Below are 24,069 nucleotides of genomic sequence, written 5' to 3'. Positions count from 1 at the left end.
CATCTAGAGCAATCTTGCTTTAATTACATGTTGAAGTTTCCTCTTTGCTTTAGTGACTTTCCTGGAGTCAACATTTTTCACATTCTTAGGGAGGAAAAACAAATAACTGAGGAAAAGAAAATGACTTCCTTCTCGCCATTTTTCGCCTGTCAGAGCCACTGTCAGTGACACACATAGGCCTCTTCCTTTCCTCCCCAGTTTAACCTTCCTTTTTTGCACCCTCCCCCCACCGCCATCCATTACTGTAATGTTTTCCTTTCTCAGACTACTCTTTTCAACTTTTCCTGTCCTTACTCCCTCTCTCGTTTTCATCTTGTCCTGAAACACTAAGAGGGACTAGATCCTTCCCTCCCCACTCTACAGTCAAATGTTAGGATCCTCTGAAGGGTATACTTAGGTCAGCTGCCAGGGAAACCCGTGGCTAACATAGATCCACGCATCCATATGAAGTTTTCCTGCACAAGCACCCTTGTCAGCAAAAATATTCTTCCTCATAGCAGAGCCTGGACTCTGCAGTGAAGTCCAACTGAGCAGGAACAAAGAGCCAGGAGTGGGAGTAGAAGTGTTCAAAGATGAAATGGGAGAGACAAGGCGAGGTAATGGGGAAATTTAGGTTCTCAGAACTGTTAACTAATCCAAACTGACATCCCCCATCTCCAACCCTCCAACCCTGCCACACAACCCTGCTTCCAACCCTAAACCCAAGCACACAGTGAAGAATCTGAAACTCGATGTCCATTGCTCCCTTCTGAATAGAAAGCCTGAGAGCACTTAATTAACGTTGGTTGTGCATTCATAGAACTATCTAGCCACAGAAAGGAAGAGAAGGAAAACCGAAAGACCTCTGCTTAGCTCTATAAAGCTCTGAAAGCGAGGCCACTTTCGTCTGCTGTAACTATTGTAACAGGCTTGCCGACGCTACTGGAAAATTCCTGTAAGATTTATTAACAAGGTGAAAGCAGCACTATCTACTTCCCAGCAGACAAATCATGTACTTATCTCCCCAGCTTCAAAAAGGGAAGAAAACAGGCAGTTGCAGCATGAAATGGAGATCCTTTTATCCAAGAGCAAGACCCAGAGCCAGTATTTTCACAAATAAATTGCATAAAGGTTTCCTAATTAGGATTTAATCAAATGATTGTTGAGCTACTGTAACATTGTCTCAAAGCTTGTAGTCTAATTATTTTTCTTTCTAAAAATGAACAGTAGCCATCTTTCCATGAGCTGTCTGGATGGCTTAGTGCACACTAATGAGGCTTAATAACAGTTTGACAGGATCATAAAAGGAGGCATAAATTCACCACCACTGGCAAAAAAAAAAAAAAAAAAAAAGGCAAAACAAAACTTCTCACATCCATAAACAAGCTGCTTTTACCATAATGGTAAAGAAAATCCCCAATCAGCTTTCAAGCTTATCTTTTCCATGAGAACCCAACATTAGCAACAAGCTAGAACTGCTCCAGCAAACAGCCAATGCAACAAGTACCCAAGAAATACTCTTGCTATGCCTTCCCCAAAGGGACTACATTTCTGTTTGCCTGTCTCTTTCCCAGTCCTTCAACCCCCTCAAAATGTATTGAATTCATTATTTCACTCCATAAGTATTAACACCTAATATGTACCAGGTATTACTATAAGTGGACAAAAAGATCTCTGGCCTCAAGGATCTTAGCAGAGAGAAACAGACAAGAAAATAAGTTATGTAACATATTAGACTGGGGTACGTTTATAGGATCCGAGTCCCAAAACATGGCTTCCGCCCCCAGATGACGACCTGCTTTCCCACAGGAGCTGGAATATTCATCTGCACATCCGGCACCTACTACATGTCTGGCATATGATGCAATCTCAATTTAAAAAAATCTTTTTAATAAACAAATGAGTGACCAAGCATTCTAACAGTTTTCAAGCTCCCCATCTTAGAGGCAGAAGTCAGGAATGTTATTAGCAAAGTGCTCATCTACAGGTGACTGAAGAAAAAAAAATCTAAAAGTTCTTGAAAGAAAATAATGTGGTATTTAAAATCATGTTTTCCCTTGATTACAGAGAAACAAGTAAGAAAGCAAGTCACTTAAGAGATTATTCATTTTAAACCAGAAATACTTAACCTACAGTCCACAGATTCAGGAATGCAGGTGAGCCCACTGAAACTGTTAGAACAATTAAGGGGAAAGAAGGATTTATGTGCATTTATCTGGGTTACTAACAAAAGGGGTAATAACTTCTGTCAGCTTCTCAGCAGCCTGTGATCCCAAGAAGATTGAAAAGTACTGCCCTAAAGAATAAGTGTTTTTAAAAACTGTATTTACATCCTTATAAAAATAAAGGTACACTTTTAACTATGAGTCAGCAGCATTTTTCTTAATAAGTGGAAGCTTTACTTTGAGGGGGCTTGAGACAGCGGGAGAGAGGCAGGCCCTCAAGGTGGTCCTATTGAGAACAGCACTCCGAAAGCATCCTAAAACCATTTTTTCCTTATGTTCCCCCATAGATTATCTCATCCCTACATATAAATGAAGCCCAGCTAAACTGAATAGACACCAGCTCCTTGCAATTCTCAATTCAAACACAAACTGCCATGGGCCAGCTCTAACACCAACAAATGCCATACTCAGGTCTTGTTTTAACTCTTATGAACAAAACCCTCTCAAATATTAATGAAACCTTCTTTTCGTGTTCCAGACTGAAGTCCTCTCCTAAGTTCTTAATAAAGAAGAGACGTTTCCTCCCTAGATTAGCAGTTCTTCTTGCTGGCTACTTATCATAATTCTTGGGAAGGCAAAAATTTAACAGAATACGCATGGCTATGCAGCCACTTACAAGAGGCCCTCAGGTGATTCTGATTTGTTGGGGTTGAAAATTATTGCTCTAGATTGGTCCTTTACAGAAAAGCCTTGCAGATCCCCCAGGCAGTACATAGTTATGCCTTGCGGGCTATCTGGTCTCTGTTGCAAGTACCAGACTCTTCTGTTGTATCGTAAGAGTAGCCATAGACAATATCTAATCAAGGAGAAAATAACAGTAATTTGGGAAAGTGATCCCAAAGTGACAATCATAAACAGTACTTATTTCTAGTAGTTAATATGCTGAGTGGGTATGGTGGGAGGGAAGAGTATATTAAAGCAGTTTCTGCTCACCCCAACATGGATCACCTGGGTCAACCCCATCCACCACACCCCAGGAATATTTACCCTTCCCTGCTCCCCAGATGCAATGCCTAAGCATATTTGAAGAGTTTACCCTTCCCCAATTTCTCCTCCTTTACTTGTCATTCACAACAGCTAGGTGTAACCAGAAAGACTCTTTGCAAGGCAGGCGGTTTCCCAGGTGCAGAGCAGGGGCTGGCTTCACTGCCCCTCAACCCCTACTCTCAATGATGCTCATGGTCCTCTGGCCCCATCTCACATCCCTTCAACCTTATTTGCCTTATTTTCTCTTGTAAGTTGCAAAGCCCTAACTTTATCAAGAGTACAGGGTTGCTGTGCCACACAGAATTTGAGTGAGAAATCCAAAGATGGGAATAAAAGCAACAAAAGTCCTAAATAGTTCACAATTGCCTTGATATTCACTTACATCTGGATTAAATGCTTCTTCATTAAACCAGGGAGATAACAAAAGACCAGATAAATTTCAGATTTATGGAACTCCATCAGAAGACAGAAGCTCAATGAGAACTTCTTAGAACCAAGCTCATCACAGTGAGAATGAAAGAATTTTTTTAAACAGAGAGAGAGAAAAGGGAAATCTAAGAGGATCGTTGTGTAGTACATGGCGACAAGCCGAAAACAAAGTCTCTTAAAGAAAAAAAAAATTTTACCTTTTCATGGTTTTCAATTAAGATTTCCACAACAATATTCTGAAACTTCAAGTCCATGAGGGCAGCGACAGTTTCTTCCTGTGGCCTCATCAGAGTTGGTCCAAACACCACTCCTAAGTTTGCCACAGTCATCAGGTTCTGCTTGGAGTGATTTGAAACACTGAAATTGGTAAGGGGGGAGGAATCTGTTTAACCAAAGGAGCAAAAATTGTGGACTGTAAATAGTCTGCAACTCTGTATTTCCTTAAAAGCAAGGGGTCAAGAGACTTAACCACCCTCAACATCTACCTCTGAAATAACCAGATCTGAGAAACCCTCCATGCAGATGCTCCTGCCTACTCCTTTACTTCCCTCTCTTTGGTGCTCTAGTCTAACCACAATGGCTTTCTTAATAATTCCATGCACAGTTGGCCCTCAGTATCCCCTGGGAATTGATGCCAGAATCCCTACAGACACCAAAGTCTGCAGATGTGCAAGTTCTAAAGTCAACCCAGGAAACCCATGGATAAAGAAAAGTCAACCCTCATGTCCACAGGGAATACTGGATTTTTGATCAGTAGCTGGTTGAATCTGCCCATGCAGGACTCACAAAGAGCCAACTGTATGTGCTAATCTTGCTTCCCCCAAAAGCCTTAGTTTACTGTTCCCCTCTTCTTAGAAAACTCACTCTTTCCCCAGAATATTATACTTTTGCTTCCAAGGAATACTAGACTGCGTAGCACCTTTGTAAAAGCATGCAGACTTTGGTCAGAGCACCCACAATCACTCTTTCAGCCCAGTATCACTGTGCAGTGAATCACATAGACAACTGTTCTCAGCAGCCCTGCAACTTAATTCAGGTCTCAATTCAAAGATACCATCTTCAAAAAGCCTTTGCATAACATTTTTTATAGTCTCACACTCAATATATTCTGTCCCCTTACTCTGCTTTGTGTTTTTGCTATTTATCATCTGAAGCTGTTTTATATTTTTATTTGTAATCTGTTTTTCATATTTTCCCTTAGAAAGTAAGCTTCATGAAAGCTGGGACTTAGACTATTTTATTCAACTATGTATCCACTAGCACCTAAGAAAGGCATTCACTAAATATTTGTTGACCAAATGAATAAATGGCTAAACTAGCAGTAGGTCCCTTGGCAAATCACAGTATCTTCTGACCTTCATTTTCTTTATATGTAAAAGAAAGGTTCTAAAATATAGCGTTCTTCAGCTTCCTTTCACGTCTAAAATTCTACAGTTAGAATGATCTCTATACTTAAAGAAAGGGCTAATTTCTCCACTGATTTGATTTTGCCGGTTTTTAAAAGGAGGAGGAAAAGGGAATGAAATCTATAAAATAACTACCCATTATTGAATTAAGCCAACTTAAAGGACATGTTCAAATTTAGAGGTAGGTAGGTGTGAAACCAAGCTAAATATTCTAACAAACTTATATTCACACTTCCAGAATCTGTGTATAGGGTAATGTATAATATTCTCTTCTTTCACTTCAAATCAAACCCTGAGTTGCTGGCAGAGATGTTAAGCAAATAATTATACAGCTTCATGAAAGCATATTTCAACAGTCTTATCCAAAACACACACAATGAGTCAAACGTTCAGCCTGCCCTTCCAGGTGTGGTCCCCAGTTCCACCCGTCACAAATCCCAGAGCACTACCCAGCACCTAGAGCAAAGTGAAGAAAGTTAAAACGAAGAAAAAGAGGCTTACTTTGTTAAGTGTTTCACCAAAATATCCAACATCTCTTTATTCTTCTCTGGCAGTTTGTGTACCAAGAAATGGATCGCATTAACACGAGATTCTGGGCTGCCGCTTTCTTCCAAAAAAAAAATAATAATAAAGAAAAAAATAAAGAAAAAGAAAACAATAGTTAATAGAGAACTCAGAATCAAATATATTTCCCAAGACAATGACAACAGCTCCTCTGTTCAAGATTATCAAACATGGAGAATGTAAACATATTTTGCCACCGTTAAAAGGAAAAAAAAATCTTTCTCCTTATGATGAATCTTCTCATGCCTCCCCTAATGAGGTAATTTCAGTGTGGCTGCAATCGGTGCCTTTTCCTTGGTTTATATTACAGAACGGACAGCTGCTAAGCTTCTCCTTCTGACATGCTGTGTTTCATGTCTGTTCATCGTTTACTCGATGGGGTCTAGTCACTGGGTCACGCCACAATGGAATGCAAGTAAAATATCAGCAAATAGGCTATTGCATGTTACAGGTTGAACAGGATAACCCCCTCAAAAAATATGTTGAAGTTCTAGCCCTTAGAACTCGCAGTGTGGCTGTTTTAAACTGTACTTGGGATTTAATGACATCAGGTATGCTAAGGCATGCATGAAAATGACTGTCAGGAAGGGAAAAGTTTAGACTCACAGAGCCCTAGAAACAGAAGGCATGGCATGTTGTGCACAGCCACGTGGGGAAGCACCAGCGTCGATCAAGAGGCAGAGGAAGAACGGGGAATGCGGGCAAAGCCTCTACTGTAGTTTCTGCAGGAAGGAATGGGCAAGGCAGGGTGCGCAGGTTGAGGACCGGCTGGTTTAAATTATTTCAGTGGGCACTGCAGCACAAGGGCTGTCCCTAGTTGCTGATACTCGGAACTGAAGTGACAAGGGCAGGAGAGTACAGCCTGTAGCGTAAGGGCCCGCAGAGGAGGCTCGTAGGGAGGGGGGTCACGGGGCTTTGGATTGGAGAGTTCCATGTGAAAAGCCTGCAGAAGTTTAATATCTCCAGGAATGGGCCAGCCCTGGGAGGGGCAGTTTCCTCGGGTCAGTGAGGCCCCAGATGTCAAAACATCAGAATAAAAAGGCGTGCTTAATACACGATCTTATTTGGGAAGAGAGCTGTTGCAGATGTCAGTTTAGATGAGATCATAACTGAAGTAGGGTGGGGCTTCTTCATCCAATATGACTGGCATCCTTACAAGAAAACAAAGAGAGGGATAGTGACCGTGTACAGGCAGCACAGCGGAGGTTGTCCTGTCACAGCAGAGGCTGGAATGAAGGACCCACAAGCCAAGGGATACTAAGGACGGCCAGCAACCACCAGAAGCTGTGAGTGGCAAGGAGGGATCCCTCCTACAGTCTTCAGAGGGAGCACGGCCCTCCCAACGTCTTGATTTCAGACCTCCAGACTCTAGAATTGTGACGGAATAAATGCCTCTTCTTTGAAGCCACTTGGTTAGTAGTAAGTACTTTGTTCCAACAGCCCTGGAAAACACAATCCCTTAACCCCCAAACTTTGGAATTATTATACGTGGCTCTTATTAACAGTGTACCCCAATTCCCTTTATTGTGTTCTTGATTGGAAAACTATCAAATAAATCAATAAAATGTTTGTTGTTGAAGATTTTGCTAGTTTTCACAGGCGTCAAAGAAGTGACAAAAGAGAATTAGGTTCTAAATTTACTGCTGACAGAAAAGAAGGTTAGAAACGGTTTTGTAGTTTCACTTAGGGCTGGCCAGGGAAGCTCAGGAAGGGTCTCATAATGGAGAGCCCTTGGAGATTGGGTCCTGAAGAACGGGGAAGGGTTCAAGGAAAGGCAGGACTGAGGGGCAAGGGGAACATTCCAAATTCAGTAAATAGCATGACAAAAAGCACAGAGCCTGTGCAGAGACAGCTCTTCGAGGGTATAGATAGAAAGGTAGCCCGAGGCCAACTCTGGTCTGCAAAGGCCAGTTTGAAGAAGTTGTCTCACTGTTGGCTTCTAAATTAGTCAAGTGAAAACAAAGCAAGAAAGCGATATGAATAGAGTTATATTTGGGGAAGGTATGCCTGATATTTTTCTTAAAGGATGGATTAGAATAGGAAAAAGAACTAATTAGGAGGAAAAAGTTATGTGGGAGATAAGAAAAAAGAAATGAAAGGAGTGGTGGCCAGGCACAGTGGCTCATGCCTATAATCCCAGCACTTTGGGAGGCCGAGGCAGGCAGATCCCTTGAGGTCAGGAGTTCAAGACCAGCATGGCCAACATAGTGAGACCATCTCTACTAAAAATACAAAAATTAGCCAGTGTGGTGGTGTGCACCTGTAATCCCAGCTACCCAGGAGACTGAGGTGGGAAAAGTGCCTGAACCCAGGAGGCGGAGGTTGCAGCACCACTGCACTCCAGCCTGGGCAACAGAGAGAGACTCCATCTCAAAAAAATAAAAATAAAGGGAGTGAGGTAGGTGGTAGAACTACAAAGAGGGAAGTAGAACAAAGAAATATAGATGCCCTATGATTTATGATGGGGGGACATCCTAATAAGCCCCTCATAAAGTCAAAAGATTGTATGTCAGGACCGTCACTACACCTGGGAGTCGTTGCTTCTAACTGATAGCTGAGTGGTCTTGAACAAATTACCTAACTAACCTCTCTGTGCCTCAGCTCCCTCATCTGCAAAATGAAACAATATCTTAAAAGGCCATTATGAGATTCAATGCTGTAACATACATAAAGCACTTAGCCTCTGTGGCTGGCACATGTGGGCACTCAATCACTGTTAGCCATTAGTACTGTTGTTGTTCGTGTTACTATTATTATTTGAGCGCTACGATGGAAGAAGCAGAACTGACAGGTTTTAGCAGCAGACTAGCAGTGGGTCAGAAGGAAGAAGGCAGAGACGAGCAGTGTTTCACATCTGGGTAGTCTGGCAACAGGGCCAATTCCACCAACAGACAGAAACACAGCAGCCAAAGCTGTCTTGAGGAAGGAGATGATGGTGGAGGGAATGGAGGAAGTGACATTCAAATGGCTGGTATTTAGCAGTAGCTGGAAACAGTAGGAGGCTTTAGAGATCAAGGCTAGAAATGTTCTCCAGGAGGTGTGACCACTAGCTCATGGACAAAGCTGCCGAACTTCTACAGAAAGCTAACTGAGGGCACTGTGGGGAAAAGGGCTCCAAAGATGTACAGGGAGATGTGAAGTCAAGGGCTAAGTCAAGCAGGCAATGCAGCCAAGGAGGAGGAAGAGGTGGGAGGACCAGGGAGGTACGATGTCATCAGGAAGGCAAGTGAGAAGAAATCTGCAAAGGCTGGGCACAGCCAGTGGACTCGAGAGGTAAGGAGAGGTCAAGGAATGGAAACACTGGGATTAAGGGGCCCTGGGTATCACCAGTTTTATCAACTGAGAGCCCCTTTCTACTAAAATGAGGAGGTTAAACAAAGAGGAAGCTGCTGGAGAAGGGGAGAAGAGTGGGATTTCAGAACACCTGTTCAGAAAGCAAAAAAAAACAAGAGAATGGGAAAGAGAGGTAAAGCAGATCAAGAAAGGGGCATTTATTTTTTCAAAAGGATAATAGTTTTCCTTATGACAAAAGTTAAATACCTGTAATACTAAAATCTTGGACAACACAGAGAAAATGACCTTAGTACAAAGTACTAAATATCTGAAATACATATATACATAAGAAACAGCATGCAATCAGATTAGAAAGAACTACAAACCAATCAGGGAAAAAAGAGACAATCCAACAGACAAAAGGGCAAAAGACCGGGGCAGGAATTTCACAAAATATTTATTCCAGTGACCAAAAAACCTATGAAAACAGAATAAACCTATATCGGTGAAACAGAAGTTAACAACACAATGAAAGAGTAATACTCACCTGCCAGAATGGCTTTAAATGAATACTAAGCTTTGGCAAGGACATGAGGCAACTGAAACTTCCACATGCTAACTAGATGGTAATCATTAAAGGGTTCAACCACTCTGAAGAACTGTTTGGCAGTTATCTACTAAAGCTGAACAAACACATACCCTATGACCGACCCAAAAATTCCACTCGTAGGTATATAACCAGGAAAAATGCACATAAATGCTCATTAAAAGACACATACTCCTATACTCACAGCAGCGTTCTATTAGCCCAAAACTGGAAACAACCCAAATGTCCATTAACAGTAGAACAGATAAATCTATTGTGGCTTCTTCAAACAGAATGCAATGAAAATGAATGAATGTTTCATACAACAGAGATGAATCTCACAAAATGAGCAAAAGAAACCAGATACAGAAGAATATACTCTGATTCCATTTACATAAAGTCCAAATGCTGCAGCCTCAACCTACAATGTCAGGAGAGTGATCACACTTCATGGGAGTGGATAATGACCACATGAGCAAGAGAAAGGGCTTCTGATGATGTTTGATTGCTTGATCTGGGGCTGATTACATGTGAAAATTCATTAAGCTGTATACTTATTTGAGCCCATGTTATATTTCAACAAAAAGTTCACTTAAAGCTACCCATAATAAATCTCATCCTAAAATAAACTGGTAAATTTTAAGTATAAATCCTGCAGAGTTTTCCTTCCTTTTTTTGGTAATGAAATGCCTAAACAACCTATTTTATTTAATGTATCACAGATATTTTTCAGTGTCATTAAATGGAACACCTTACCATCGATTTTATGAACACTTAGATTGTTTCCAATGTTTGTAAAGACAAGTTTGTTCCAGTTTACACCCCTAATAATAGTATTTGAGAATGAGAAATGATATTTTACAACTGAGGACACTAAGACAGCTGTTGCTAAACAGAAAGGATGCAAAAAGGCTAAGAAATTAAAAGGCACATAAATAACACAACCAAATCATATTATATCATTAAAAAAACTTCTAGATACAAACTAAATTTATCACCAGAAACAAAAACACAACTGTCTAAAGGGTTAGGTAATAAATTATAATCCAGTTCTTAATCTGGTATAAAAAACAAGATACTAATCAACACTAGAGAAAATAAAAACAATATAACAATTTCAATTCACAGCTTTGATTTTTAAAAATAGACTTAAAGCAGAGACTCTGCAAAATAGTAGAAATTCCAAAGGAGTAAAAGGACAACTACTGAGGATAAGAATTTTATATCGCAAAAATTAAAAAGTCTGGAAAACTTTGCACTAAAAACCTACTAACTTGTGAGTCTATCTTGCCATTAATAATCATCTTTTTCCAGTGAAAACCTAGTTTAAATACTTTAGGATTCATTATTTAGAAACAGAAGCTAGAGAAACAGTTTCCCACACTCTATGAATTACATTCTTCATTTCTTAAAATAGTGGAATTGATTTTGAAAAATAGAGTCAAAACCTGGATTAAGAATATGTGGCACATACACACCATGAAATACTATGCAACCATTAAAAAGGATGCGTTCATGTCCTTTGTAGGGACATGGATGAAGCTGGAAACCATCATTCTCAGCAACCTATCGCAAGGACAGAAAACCAAACACCGCATGTTCTCACTCATAGGTGGGAATTGAACAATGAGAACACTTGGACACAGGAAGGGGAACATCACACACCTGGGCCTGTCGTGGGGTGGGGGGAGCGGGGAGGGATAGCATTAGGAGATATACCTAATGTAAATGACGAGTTAATGGATGCAGCACACCAACATGGCACATGTATACATACGTAACAAATCTGCACGTTGTACACATGTACTCTAGAACTTAGAGTATAATTTTAAAAAATTTAAAAAAAGAAAAATAGAGTCAAAACCTTTCACTATCTTCAGTCTCTCTCCTGCTAGCCCATCCTAATCTATTTTAAAATCACACATCCATTTCTGCCAAGTCTTTTTCCCTCTTCTTCAAAAACAAAAAAAAAAATACTCTGGGCTTTTTAAATAAAACCATTTTTTTCTCTATCTTGTTTTGACATTAATCATCAGAGCTTTCTATTCGCAATCATTTCTATGTAGCTACAACATAATACCTTTAAGGTACTCCAAAAAAAGTTTTTGAAGATAAATCATCTAAAGTTGCTTATGCTAATGCAATTTATTTTAATTGCTACTGATTGACAAAGAATGAACAGCCTACCTTAAAAAAAAAAACTAGGATACTAAATTAATCATAATACCAAATTCTTGAAATATGCCAGGGAATTAGGAGCTTACTGTAGTGGAAAAGGCATTTTAATTGTGTAACTACAAATCAGCATCTACCACACTGTAATGTCCATCTGCTTATGATGCTGTGCCAACTAACAGAAACTGAAAAAGATGTGATCATGGAGCTTATCGAAGACACAGAGGCAGATAAATGCTAAATTATTTCAATATTGAAATGTCAAAAGTCAATGATACTGTAATTTTAGAAAGGCATTAGCAGTAACCATCCAAGCACTTCCCAAGGGATAAAGGGCTTCAGTCAACAGACATCAAGTGTTGCATTTCTCCTGTGGCATTCGTATCTACCGTGAAATGAATACATCAAGCTAAGAGGGAGGCATGCCACTAAGCATTCAGTTCCCTTAATTCCTGGGTTCCTAAGCCCTTCCCCAGCAAGAATCACATGATTTTTGTCTTGCTTCCCAGATATGTTTATCAAAAACGATAGAACATTCTGGTTAGGTAAACACCAATGTCTTGGATCCGATTATAGTTATGTTTCTCATGATAAATAACCAAAGACCTTTGTGGTAATCATTTTGCTTCCCAACTAACTTGACTACAGGAAGAAATACACTGAACATAGCAACACAAGTGTTTTGGTTTAACTGACAGTGAAGAGATTTTTCTTCTGATACAACAGGCATTCAGCCTTTAGTTGTCATTCTCGTACTAAGCACCATGACTCCAACCCTGAGGCATGAGTCCACTCTTATCAAAATGATACAGCAAGGACTTTGAGGCCAAAAGGCTGACACACAGATCATAGCCTACAACTTTCTCAAAGGTAACAGACATCACGCAGTAAGACATCCAGCTAGATGCCTGCCTGTGGTGGACACAATCTTTTGTATTCCCCATAGACCAGGTAACTACATTTTCGTCTTATAAATTTCCATGTCAAAAGTCCATTATAGTCTCCCCCAAGATGGATCGTCTACTGGGTTCCTTTTATAAGTTTAGTTTGGAATTCAGCTAACGGAGAAAGTTACATTAACTCTCTTAATTTTCTCAAAGAAAAAAATGTTTTAACTTTTCCAATGCAGTCAACCTTTAAAAGTAAGTTGATCTTTTTTTCAGAACAAGGAACATAAAACAAATGTGCCTTTTGTGGTGACAAAATAGAAATGAAATTTATATTTGTATCATGAACCCTAGAAATTAACACGGAGGTTCACAACAGGAAACTACAGGAAAGAAACTGATGAGAGAAAACAATGGGACCCAGGAGAAACCTTGAGAACTCTCAGCAGGGAGGGTAGAAGAGAAGAAACTATCTCATCACCACAGAACAGATGGAAACCACTGCACATGACTGAGAAGAATCAAAAATTAGTTTTCAAGTTGGTGTGAGAGGTGGTAACAAAGACTGCTGATGCTTAGTAATTTTAGCAGTCAGCTCAGCTAACAGACACTTGAGCAAAACCAGGTAAGCTGTGTCACTGTTCACGGAAAATGACAGCTTAACCACAATCCCGATTTTCCAACAGCATTCAAAAGGGGAGACTAATTTTGGCCACCTGATTTCTGTAACTATTTTATTCGATCCTTAAAAGTCCATATGCAAAAGATTAGGAGATCTGTTCCCACACTCTCTAAAAGAGGCAATGAGTGCAGAGAAGGGTACTCAAGAGATTAAAATAAAAACTTAAAGTCTACATTGGAAACCTTGGCCCCTAAAATACACCCATTTAGTACATGTACTTTTTCTCATTAAATCAAGTTACTACAGGTCCCATTCCAACCACAACGGCACTTAGGTGCAAATCCATGCCAATGATTACAGTAGAAACAGTATTTCTTTCTGACGGTCCTGTCATCCAAATCACTGTGAAGACTATCACAGCATTCCCACAAAGTCAGGAAGCAAAACACAAGGTACTGGTCCAACAGGTGATGATCTTGTCTGCGTTTCTGCAATCGTTTTCACCACTCTGCTCAAAGATGCCTTCAACAAACTCTTTAAACTTATTTTCTACCACCATAGATTTTATTACCTCTTAAGATATAAGCTCCTACCTCTTAGGAACCTCTTCATTTGGTAAAACACACTGATATTCAAATTTCAAAAACACTGCCATCAGTTATGGGGCGTAATAATACTAATGATTGTGGTCATTTAAAACATATGTAACTAACCTGCACAATGTGCACATGTACCCTAAAACTTAAAGTATAATAATAAAAGAAAAAAAAAAAGGAAAAAAAAAAACCTTATTCCATAATCACTTTATCTTTCTCTAATTCTCAAAGGATTCTAGATTAAAATTGGCACTCTTCTGCTTTTTCCAGTCTCTAAGGCAAACAACATGAAACAATTGTCCTCCAACTAAGTTTAATTTCTCTTTCCCCAGTTTGCCAAAAATGCCACAGGGAAGAAATCAAAACAACTAAGCATTTACTTGAGTTTTTGCCGAAAAAATTTTCCCCCACTCCCTTGATCTCACAAATTCTCTTTTTTAAAAAATCCTCTCCCCATGTGAAAACAAAAACGAATAGAACCAGTTTTTGCTTTTCCAAAAGCCTCTTTTATATGTAGAGTCTAATGGGGCCTACACACTCCTCCTTCCTGCAACACAGGAGGAACCTTTACACTGGCTGGAGCAAGGACCTCACAAGAAGGTAACATTTAAAGCAATGTTCAGGCAGCGGTAACATTGGTCCCAAAGGGAATGCTCTAAGTTTTTCAACAGATTAAACTATGGAATACATCCAAGAGGAGAAAATAAAAGGAAATGAAAATACAATTACAGCTACTGTCAGTGCACCTGTGAAAACCAATACTGCAGGTTTTAGCTAGTAGAACTAGGGTTCTGAATTTTAAATAAGGCTCCCTATAATCTGGCAAGTTACTTAACATGTCTCAACCTTCATTTCCTTCACTATTAAATACCTAACACCAGTGTACTTCAGAAGACTATGATGATTAAACAACACGTGTCAAAGATAGAAAGTGAGCCATATAACAGAAAACAAAGCCTCAAATGAGTATGACTCACAAAAAATTCAATCACAAAATTCTACCAACTATAGGCCTTTTTCATTTAACATTTGATTGTATATTATTCAGTCTGTATCAAATACTGTTTGGAGTTCTGGCATTATCTCATAATATTCCTTCTGTCTGTAATTTAGATCCGAGTATCTGTCTATGTGAAGCCACCTCCAAACTACTAATCTCTCCAAATCTGTTCATCTCCACAACCTTTCGCAAATTAAATACTTCTGTGTTCCCTCAGCATTTTGCTCATGCCATTATTGTACATTTTGTAGTATAATGAGAAGTATGCCCCAGTACTTGCTATAGAATTGTCTCATGGGACAAGAATCCTGTCTTGGCTTTACATATCCAGTAACATAATAGGAAATAATTAATGTATGTGAATAAATGAAAGAATATACTGTCCCTTTTATTCACCTCCCAAGGATGAGGGGAGGCACCAAACATCATTTAAAGCGATTTCTATTTTTAACACAAACTGCAATAACAAGTTGAATTTTTCATATGGAAATTTTTCGTTTATGCTCACTACCAACTACAAAACTGTTCCTATATACCTTTACATAATACTTACTGGCTGGAACAATGAAATCTCCATGTAACTCATAGGTCATGAGAGGCTCTGGAAGACTCCTGTGTGAAAAGAACAGCTCAGAATTATCAAATAAATCCAAACAAGTCACTTCTGAGTTTTTTTATGAAAGGATGTTAAATTTGTTATGCATTTCTTAATTAATGTGTAAAACTTCCCTAGGGAATACCTTTACATATCAAAAAAGATACATAAACGGATCACTTTATTAACTGCTGTTGGCACCAAGCACTATCAAAGCCTAGGGAGCCACAAATCCCTACTAGACCTAAGCATACAGTATTTCATATCTAATCACGGAAAGTAGCTTTGTGAACATCTGGTTTTATATATAAAACTTCCTTCTACACATTAATGTATTTAAAGCCAAACATACCATCTAACCAAATGTAAGCAAACAATTTTGAAACTTCATCTCTAAGATATTAGCTGAAGATTCCACACAAAATACATAGAAAAGATTAAACAAACTCAAATCCTCTCTGATTAAATATATTATAAAAATAAGAATTTATCTTTATTCCTATAAGATGAGAGATGAAATAAAATTGATGACAACTTTAAAAATATACACAGCATTTTCAGAGTCTACAAAACAAGTTACATAAGGTAGTTTATTTTATCCTGTGATCAACAGAAATGCTACAGTTCAGTCCACCTTGCTACATATCTTAAAATTATAAAAGATCAGAGCAACTAGCTTTATAAACACTTAAAGAATACCTAGACAAGTGTCGGTCTGTACAGCCTTTCTGGAGGGTAATCTCGCAAGATATTAAGAACTTTTAAAAGGTTACAATCCTGTAACTCAGAAATTCTGCTTCAAATGTTTAAAAAAAAAATCAAAGATGCACAAACAAAATTTTTTAACATATGCAAAGCCGAGAATATTGCCAGAGATAAAGAAGGTCATTTCATATTGACAAAAGTGTCAACTCATCATGAAGCCAAAACAATATTAAATGTTAACAGATCTAATAAGAGAGCCCCAAAACACTTGAAGCAAAAATTGACAGAACTACAAGGAGAAATGGGCAAATCCACAACTATAATCAGAGAGTTAAACACCTCTCTGTTTCAGTAACAGAACAAGTAGAAAAATCAGGATACAGAAGATTTGAACAAAAATATCAACCAACTTAATCCAACTGGCATGTCCTTCACCTAAATGACACTCCACTCAAAAGCAGAACACACATTCCCAGTGCATACAGGCCATTTATTTTCCAAGATTAACCATATTCTGGGCCATGATACAAATCTCAAAAAATAAAAAGGGTTTAAGACACACAGAGTTTGTTTTTTGATTACAACAAAAACTGAATTAAAAATCAATAACAGAAAGATATCTGGAAAACTCAAAGAGAAGTTAGAAAGTATTCTGAAAAGAACGAAATAAAAACACAACATATCAGAATTTGAGGGATGTTGGTAAAGCAGTACTAAGATGACATTTTATGCTACTAAACACCTATATTAAAAAAGAAGAAGGGTGGTAAACCAAGCACTTCATTTTGTACCTTAATGAGCTATGAGGAAAAAAAAGAAGTGTAAATTAAGCCCAAAGTAAGCAAAAGAAGAGAAATAATAAAAATCAAGCAGAAATCAATTAAATCGAAAACAGAAAAATAAAGAAAATAAATTAATCCAAAACCATATCTTTTAAGATAATCAGTAAAATTGATCAATCCAGCCAGAATGATTAGGAAATAAAAGAGAGAAAACAAACAACACCAGGAATGAGAAAGGTGACTGCAGAATCAGTGCAGATTCTAAAGATATTAAAAATAAAATAAAGAAATACTATGAGCAATTTTATGCCCATAAATTCAACAACTCAGATGAAATGGACAAATGTCTGAAAAGACACAGACTACCAAAGTTCGCTCAAGAAGAAACAGATAACCTGAGTAGTCCTATTGAATTTGTGGTTAAAAATCTTGCCAGTAAGAAAACTCTAGGGCCAGATGATGTCACTGAATGAATTCTACCAAACAATTAAGAAAGAAAAACTACTGATTCTATACAAATTCTTCCATAAAATAGAAGAGGGAATAATTTCTAACTCATTCTGTGAGGTAAGCTTTATCCTAATATCAAAGTTAAAGACATTATGAGAAAGGCATTATGAGAAGACTACAGACCAATATCACTCATGAACATAGATGCAACTATTCTAAATAAAATGTTACTAAATCAAATTCCACAAGATAAATAAAATAATATATCATAAGTTGGGTTTATCACAGGAATACAATACTAGCATAATATCTAAAAAAAAAATCAATGTACTTCACCAAATGAAAAGAAAACTGTATGATCATATCAATAGACAATTTAGGAGAAATAGCCACTCCTACAAATCGTACTAGAACTACTGGAGATCCCTATGCAAAAATGAACTTGAATTCATACCTCATATCTTATGTAAAAATTAACTCAAAATGGATCACAGAACTAAGTGTAAAACCTAAAACTATAAAACTTACAGAAGAAAACAAAAAAAGAAAACCTTTGTGACCCTGAATAAGTGCAAAGGTTTCTTAATATAGCCACAAAAGCACAGTCCATAAAAAGAAAAACTGATGAACTAGACTTCATCAAAATTAAAACTTCTCTTTGAAAGACACTATTGAGAGAACAAAAAGACAAGTCACAGAATGAAGAAAATACTTGTAAAGCAGGTATCTAAGAAAGGACTTGTACTCAAAATATATTTTTTAACTTTTAAAACATAATAATATGACAATCTAAGTTGTAAAAAATTGGGAAAAAGATATGCACAGACACTTCACCCAAGAAAATATATAAATGGAAAATAAGCACATGGAAAAAAGTTCAACATTACTAGTCATTAGAGAAGTGCAAACTAAAAGCACAATGAAACACTACCAAATACCTATTACGATGGCTAAAATGAAAAAGATTGACCAGCTTAAGAGTTGGCAAGAATGAAAAGGAAATGGAACCTTTGTATATTGTTGGTGAGGATGTAAAGAAATACATCAACTTGGGAAGAAAGTTTGTCAGTTTCCCAAAAAGTTAAGCATAATTACCACATGATCTAAATATTCCACTCCTGGGATTTATCCAAGAGAAATGAAAGCCTGCGTCCACTCAAATATAGGTATACAAATGCTTTTAGCAGCTTTATGTGCAACAGCCGAAAGTTACAAGCAAGTTAAATATCCTGCAACAGATGAACTGATTTTTTAAAATGCTGGTGTATCTATAAAATGGTCCATTAGTTAGCAGTGAGATGGAATGAACTGTTGGTATGTGCTACAACATAGAAGAATCTATTCTAAGTGAAATAATACAGACTTCAAGTATATACTATATAATTCTATTTATATAAAATTACAGGAATTGCAAAGTAACATTTTAGTGGATGAGGCTACTTCCGTAGGGTGTGAGAGAGATTTCAAATGGTAGGAGGAAACTTTGGGGGGTAATAATGCACAGGGTCACTATCTTGATTATGGTGATAGTTTCAGAGGTATACATATATCAAACTTACCGAAACTTACACTATAAATATATGCAGCTTATTGTATGTCAACTGTGTTTCAATAAAGCTGTCTTTAAACAACAAATAAAAATAGGTCAAGCATGGTAGCTCACACCTGTAACCCCAGTGCTTTGGGAGGCCAAGGTGGGAGGATCACTTGAGACGACGAGTTTAAGACCAGCCTAGGCAACAAAGTGAGACCCTGTTTCTATTTTTTTTTAATGTTTTGAAAAGAAAATTGAAAAATAAAAGAAAAAAATGTTAAGGTACATATATTCCTTACATACAATTTACGATGCTATAGTATATACATACAAACACAAAATGACAACCATAAACTAAAATTTAATGCATGAGTGAAAAAGTCCTGCTCTTATTTCCCCTCCCTCTCCTTTTCCCCCTACATTCCCATTTCACAAAGAAAATGAAAAAAAAAAAAAAATCAACTATACCACAGCCTAAATAAGGAGAAAGAAGGGCCAATCAGAAGTAAGTCTTTAGGGGGTTTGTTTCAAAATATAGACAAGCAGGAGGTAACAAAGAAGAAAAATGGTTATCTAGCAGAGAAGGAAAGTTAAAGGGTGCTAAAAAGAAAAGTGGGGTCGAGGGAGGGGGGGAATGAGAAACCTTAGAAATACATTTCTTTTCCAATAAAAATGAATTTGTATCTGAATATCTTCTACAAGTTACTTATATCATTGCCATATGTCTAGCTAGGCAATGCAGCATAAAAAAATAAATATTGTTAACATTAGGGAAGCAGCCATAAAAATGACAAGTTCCCCATACAGAATGTATTATGCTGAGTCACTGCAACTCTCAGCCTCCCACCCGACATGTTTTTGAGCCACCTCTCTTTGCCACTCGTTGGGATCTGTTGGGGGATATAAATCATAATATTTATCTAAGCTGGCATTTCCCTCCCAAAAAGTCCCATTACAATTTCCAGGCTTAAAAGAAGTTTCCTCCAGGTAAAATCATTTGACTAGAAACATCACAAAACCACTCATTTGTCCCCTCACAACAGAAAACTGCTGTAATGAACACATCTCTGAAAATCGAAATAATGGTCTGCATAGATAAGAAATCATTCAGAGGGCTGGTATTCAGCTCTCTAAAACATGAGAAGTTAAAAAAAAAAATTGCCTCGTCAGTAGAAGAAAAAGAGGGATGCCACACATCGGTCCACTGCACATACTTTTCCTTCTCCAAGACCCTGGAGGACCTGCTTCTTGTTTTAGTTTGGTGCTTTGGGGCTTTGGCTGTTTTCCTCCCTCCACCTCCAACATCCCATCCAATAAGATAGCTGGGTTATTTGCAGTGAGAAGAATTCAAGGGCAAGAGCTTTTTTGGGTGAGAAAAGCTATATTCAGCTTCACGCCATGGTGCCATGAGTGACAGAGCTGGGGCTCCAACCCTGGCAGGCAGGCTGGCTCCAGACCTCCTGCTCTTGACCATCACACTGTATTACCTCTCATGCAGAAAGAAATACACTTGCTTGGGCCAGAACCCTGCTGCCAAAATGGAGGTAGATAAAAACCCAGTTTTATCCCATTTGATGCATCACCAAAATTTAGAGAAAAAAAAGGGTCAATTAAATCCTAATTACTGCATTTTCCATCGCTAAAAATAACATAGGGGAAAAGAACAGCAACCCAACTTTCAAATCTCCCAAGGCATCTGCCATCTTATGATAATTCACTTTATCACATTCAGGCAGAATGTGTATTTTGTTAGAAGTGAAGTTATATAATAATAACATTTCATAATGTCGTTCTGTAGGCAATGTTTGTTTAAAAGTGAAATTCCATAGGATGAAGCAAGGTAATAAAATAAAAAGACAGAAAAAGCAACACAAGACCAGGGGCAATAAGGAACCAGCTTCCGAGAATATCAAGATCCAAAAAGAAATCCTATGTACTAAATAAAAAGGGCCTCTAGTTTATTAAACAAATTCCTCCCACACAGCAAAAGAAAAGAACCATACGGAATGGAGGAAAAAAGAATGCAATTTATTGCCAAAAAGGTGGATTTCCACCCTTAGTTTTCCACCAATAACTGAGTCATCTCAGTCAATCCCTTTACCTGCACTAGCTATGAGTCTACTAAACAGTAAAATGGATTTAAAGCTATCTCCTAGAGTGGCAGTACGTCTCTTGGTCAAGTTAATATGTGCAATTCATTATATGTTTATATCCCTTACCTACTCTTTCCTTCATGTGTCTAACACAGCTTTCTAAATCTCAGAATTATTGACATTTTGAATCAAATAATTATTTGTGGGGGGGAGGGTGGGCTGTCCTATGTACTGCAGGATGTCAGATGCCACCAGATGCCAGGAGCACTGCAAACCAGCAATGGTGAAAATCAGTAATGTCTCCAAACATGGCCAAACATCCCACTGAGGGACAAAACCATCCTCAGTTGAGAAACACTGTTCTAATTTCTCAGCCACAGCTCCAAGTTGCTGGGGATACTGCAGTGAACAAGACTTAAAAGATGCCTATCTTCAGGGAACTTAAATTCTTATCCTAGAGTTGGGAGTAACAAGATTCATTTTTACCATAATCCTCATCTAAACCACAATTAGTCACTATCAGTGGCAATACTGATATAAGTATACATCCCTTTATCAATCAGGAATAACAATAGTGCACATAACAGTTTCAGAAAAAATTTAGAACAGTGGCTGAAAACATCTTCTTTACACAAAGCACTTGAAAATAGGTAATACATAACTATCACCCACGGATAAATTTTATATCATTAAAAAGTGGGACAACCAGACAACCCAGGCTACCTGATGGGAAACAACAGAAAGAATATACCACCACTACAATGGATTCTGTTTTTTGGGGGTTTTTTTGTTTTTTTTTTTTTGAGACAGAGTCTCGCTCTGTCTCCTAGGCTGGAGTGCAGTGGCTGGATCTTGGCTCACTGCAAGCTCCGCCTCCTGGGTTCCCACCCTTCTCCTGCCTCAGCCTCCCGAGTAGCTGCGACTACAGGCGCCCACCACCATGCCGGCTAATTTTTTTTTTTTTCTTGTATTTTTTAGTAGAGACGGGGTTTCACCGTGTTAGCAAGGATGGTCTTGATCTCCTGATCTTGTGATCTGCCTGCCTCGGCCTCCCAAAGTGCTGAGATTACAGGCGTGAGCCACCGCGCCCGGCCTACAATGCATTCTTGAAATAAAGAAAATAAAACCTGACTCTAACAAAGCCCATTTGAAAAATCTTTATCTACAGGACACAGCATGGCTAAAGAAACATGTTAAATGTTATCATGAAGATATAATCAAAAATGACCCAGGTTCATCAACAAATAAATGCCAGTGGTGGAGGAAGGGAGGAAATGTAGAGATTAAAATAGCCTTAAAACCTATCAACCAAGTGAAAAGTTGGCACAGTTTAAATCCTGCAGGATTTAAACCAAATATGAAAAGACTTTTTGAAGACAGTTGGTAAAAATTGAACATGGACTGAATGCTGGATATTAATTTTGTTGTGCATAATAATTATATTTTGACTGACTTTTTAAAAATGACTTTTTGAGATAAATACTGAAGTATTTATGGGTACAGTAATATGATGTTTCAGAAAATCTTTAAAGTATTATCTTTAAAAAGTGGCAGGTAGATCCCAGCACTTTGGGAGGCTAAGGCGGATAGATCACCTGAGGTCAGGAGACCAGCCTGGCCAACACAGCGAAACCCTGTCTCTACTTAAAAATACCAAAAAATTAGCCGGACATGGTGGCGAGTGCCTGTAATCTCAGCTACTCAGGAGGCTGAGGCAGGAGAATTGCTGGAACCCGGGAGGCGGAGGTTGCAGTGAGCCAAGATTGTGCCATCGCACTCCAGCCCGGGCCAACAGCAAGACTCTGTCTCAAAAAAAAAAAAAAAACAGTGGCAGGTAGGAAGATTAATGAATTAAGAAGGATGGAATGTTGATAACTCAAGAAGCAGGATAATAGAGCCATGAGGGTTCATTACACTAAACTCTCATCTTATGTATCTGAAATTTTTCATAATTTTTTAAAAATACAAAATACGTCATATAAGTTGATTCGAATGTATCCACTGGAACCCAAATAACTTTTACCTGAAAAACAACCCTATGTATGGTTAAAAAGAACTGGTCCTGAGGCCAGGTATGGTGGCTCACACCTGTAATCCCAGGACTTTGGGAGGCCAAAGGAGGCAGATCACTTGAGGTCAGGAGTTTGAGACCAGCCTGGTCAACATGGCGAAACCCCACCTCTACTAAAATTACAAAACTTAGCCAGGCGTGGTGGTGCAAGCCTGTAATCCCAGCTACTCAGGAGGCTGAGACATGAGAATTGATTGAACCTGGGAGGCAGAGGTTGCAGTGAGCCAAGATCGTGCCACTGCACTCCAGCGTGGGCAAAAAGAGCGAGACTTCATCTTAAAAAAAAAAAGAACTGGTCCTAGGCCATTCGTTTGCCATGGAAAATCTAAGTTCCCAACAGAACCACAGCATATAAAAAAACTACAGTTGTGATCTTTTTTCATTTTCTTTTAACTGTCTATATACTTGTTCTTCATCTAACCCTGAGCTTATCATTAAGTTCTTTTCTTTAAAAAAAAAAAAAAAAAAAAGACAGTGACTCATAAAAAAATGCTACCCTCTAACTCTAGTCCTAAATGTTTTCTATTATAAATAGAAAACAACTTTATCTTAAAACCTCACCAAGTAAACTTCTTTTTCAAAGAGCTTTGCATTGACATGTTGTCATAAGCCTAAGTTCAAATCATTTAAACTTTAAAAAATCATTTCAGCATAAAATATAAAGACACAATGAATTCAATAAATAGCCTTCATTCAATCATCAGCCTCGACGAGTTGTTTCATAGTGTTTAATTCCTAAAATGTACATCCACAAAAAATGTCTATTTCAAAACCCAAGTCTATGTCAATTTCTGTTCTGTTGCAATTTACTTAATTACTGATGTGCATCTACTAGTTACCTTTCTTTCTGGGACACTGAGACACCTGATAAATTTTCCCTTTTTAAAATAAGGCTTAATTTAACTATTGATATTTATGTACACAATTGGCATCTGTTTTATGTTACAGATCCAAATAGTCCATTCTTCTTTCTTGCTACTGAGAGGAGCTTACCTCAAATACTGTTTCAAGGCACTTGTTATTGTCTTCACTTCCCAATCTGCAGAATTCTCCAGGTCCACCTCATTGCATGTTTTTACATCTAGTGAGCAAGCAAACAAGAAAAAAATA

The 24,069-nt window shown here is 38.1% G+C and overlaps 1 protein-coding gene across 6 annotated transcripts in view; it reads right to left on the bottom strand.

Annotated features, from left to right (window-relative positions):
• The window catches only part of ARHGAP10 (Rho GTPase activating protein 10), a 340,689-nt gene that overhangs the window by 102,120 nt on the left and 214,500 nt on the right, over positions 1 to 24,069 (bottom strand). For 5 of the 6 annotated variants that reach the window (NM_024605.4, XM_005263215.4, XM_047416160.1 and 2 more), the window contains 4 exons: positions 23,953 to 24,040; positions 15,283 to 15,341; positions 5,528 to 5,633; positions 3,818 to 3,977 (listed from right to left, as the gene is read on the bottom strand). In NM_024605.4, the coding sequence (NP_078881.3) occupies positions 3,818 to 3,977; positions 5,528 to 5,633; positions 15,283 to 15,341; positions 23,953 to 24,040 (413 nt within the window). Of the gene's footprint in view, positions 1 to 3,817; positions 3,978 to 5,527; positions 5,634 to 15,281; positions 15,342 to 23,952; positions 24,041 to 24,069 lie in introns of those variants that run through there. The other variant, XR_001741324.2, reaches the window with a different exon arrangement.

The sequence above is a fragment of the Homo sapiens genome, chromosome 4, assembly GCF_000001405.40.
Source record: "Homo sapiens chromosome 4, GRCh38.p14 Primary Assembly".
NCBI lineage: Eukaryota > Metazoa > Chordata > Mammalia > Primates > Hominidae > Homo > Homo sapiens.
This window is presented reverse-complemented; position numbering and strand designations above follow the sequence as displayed.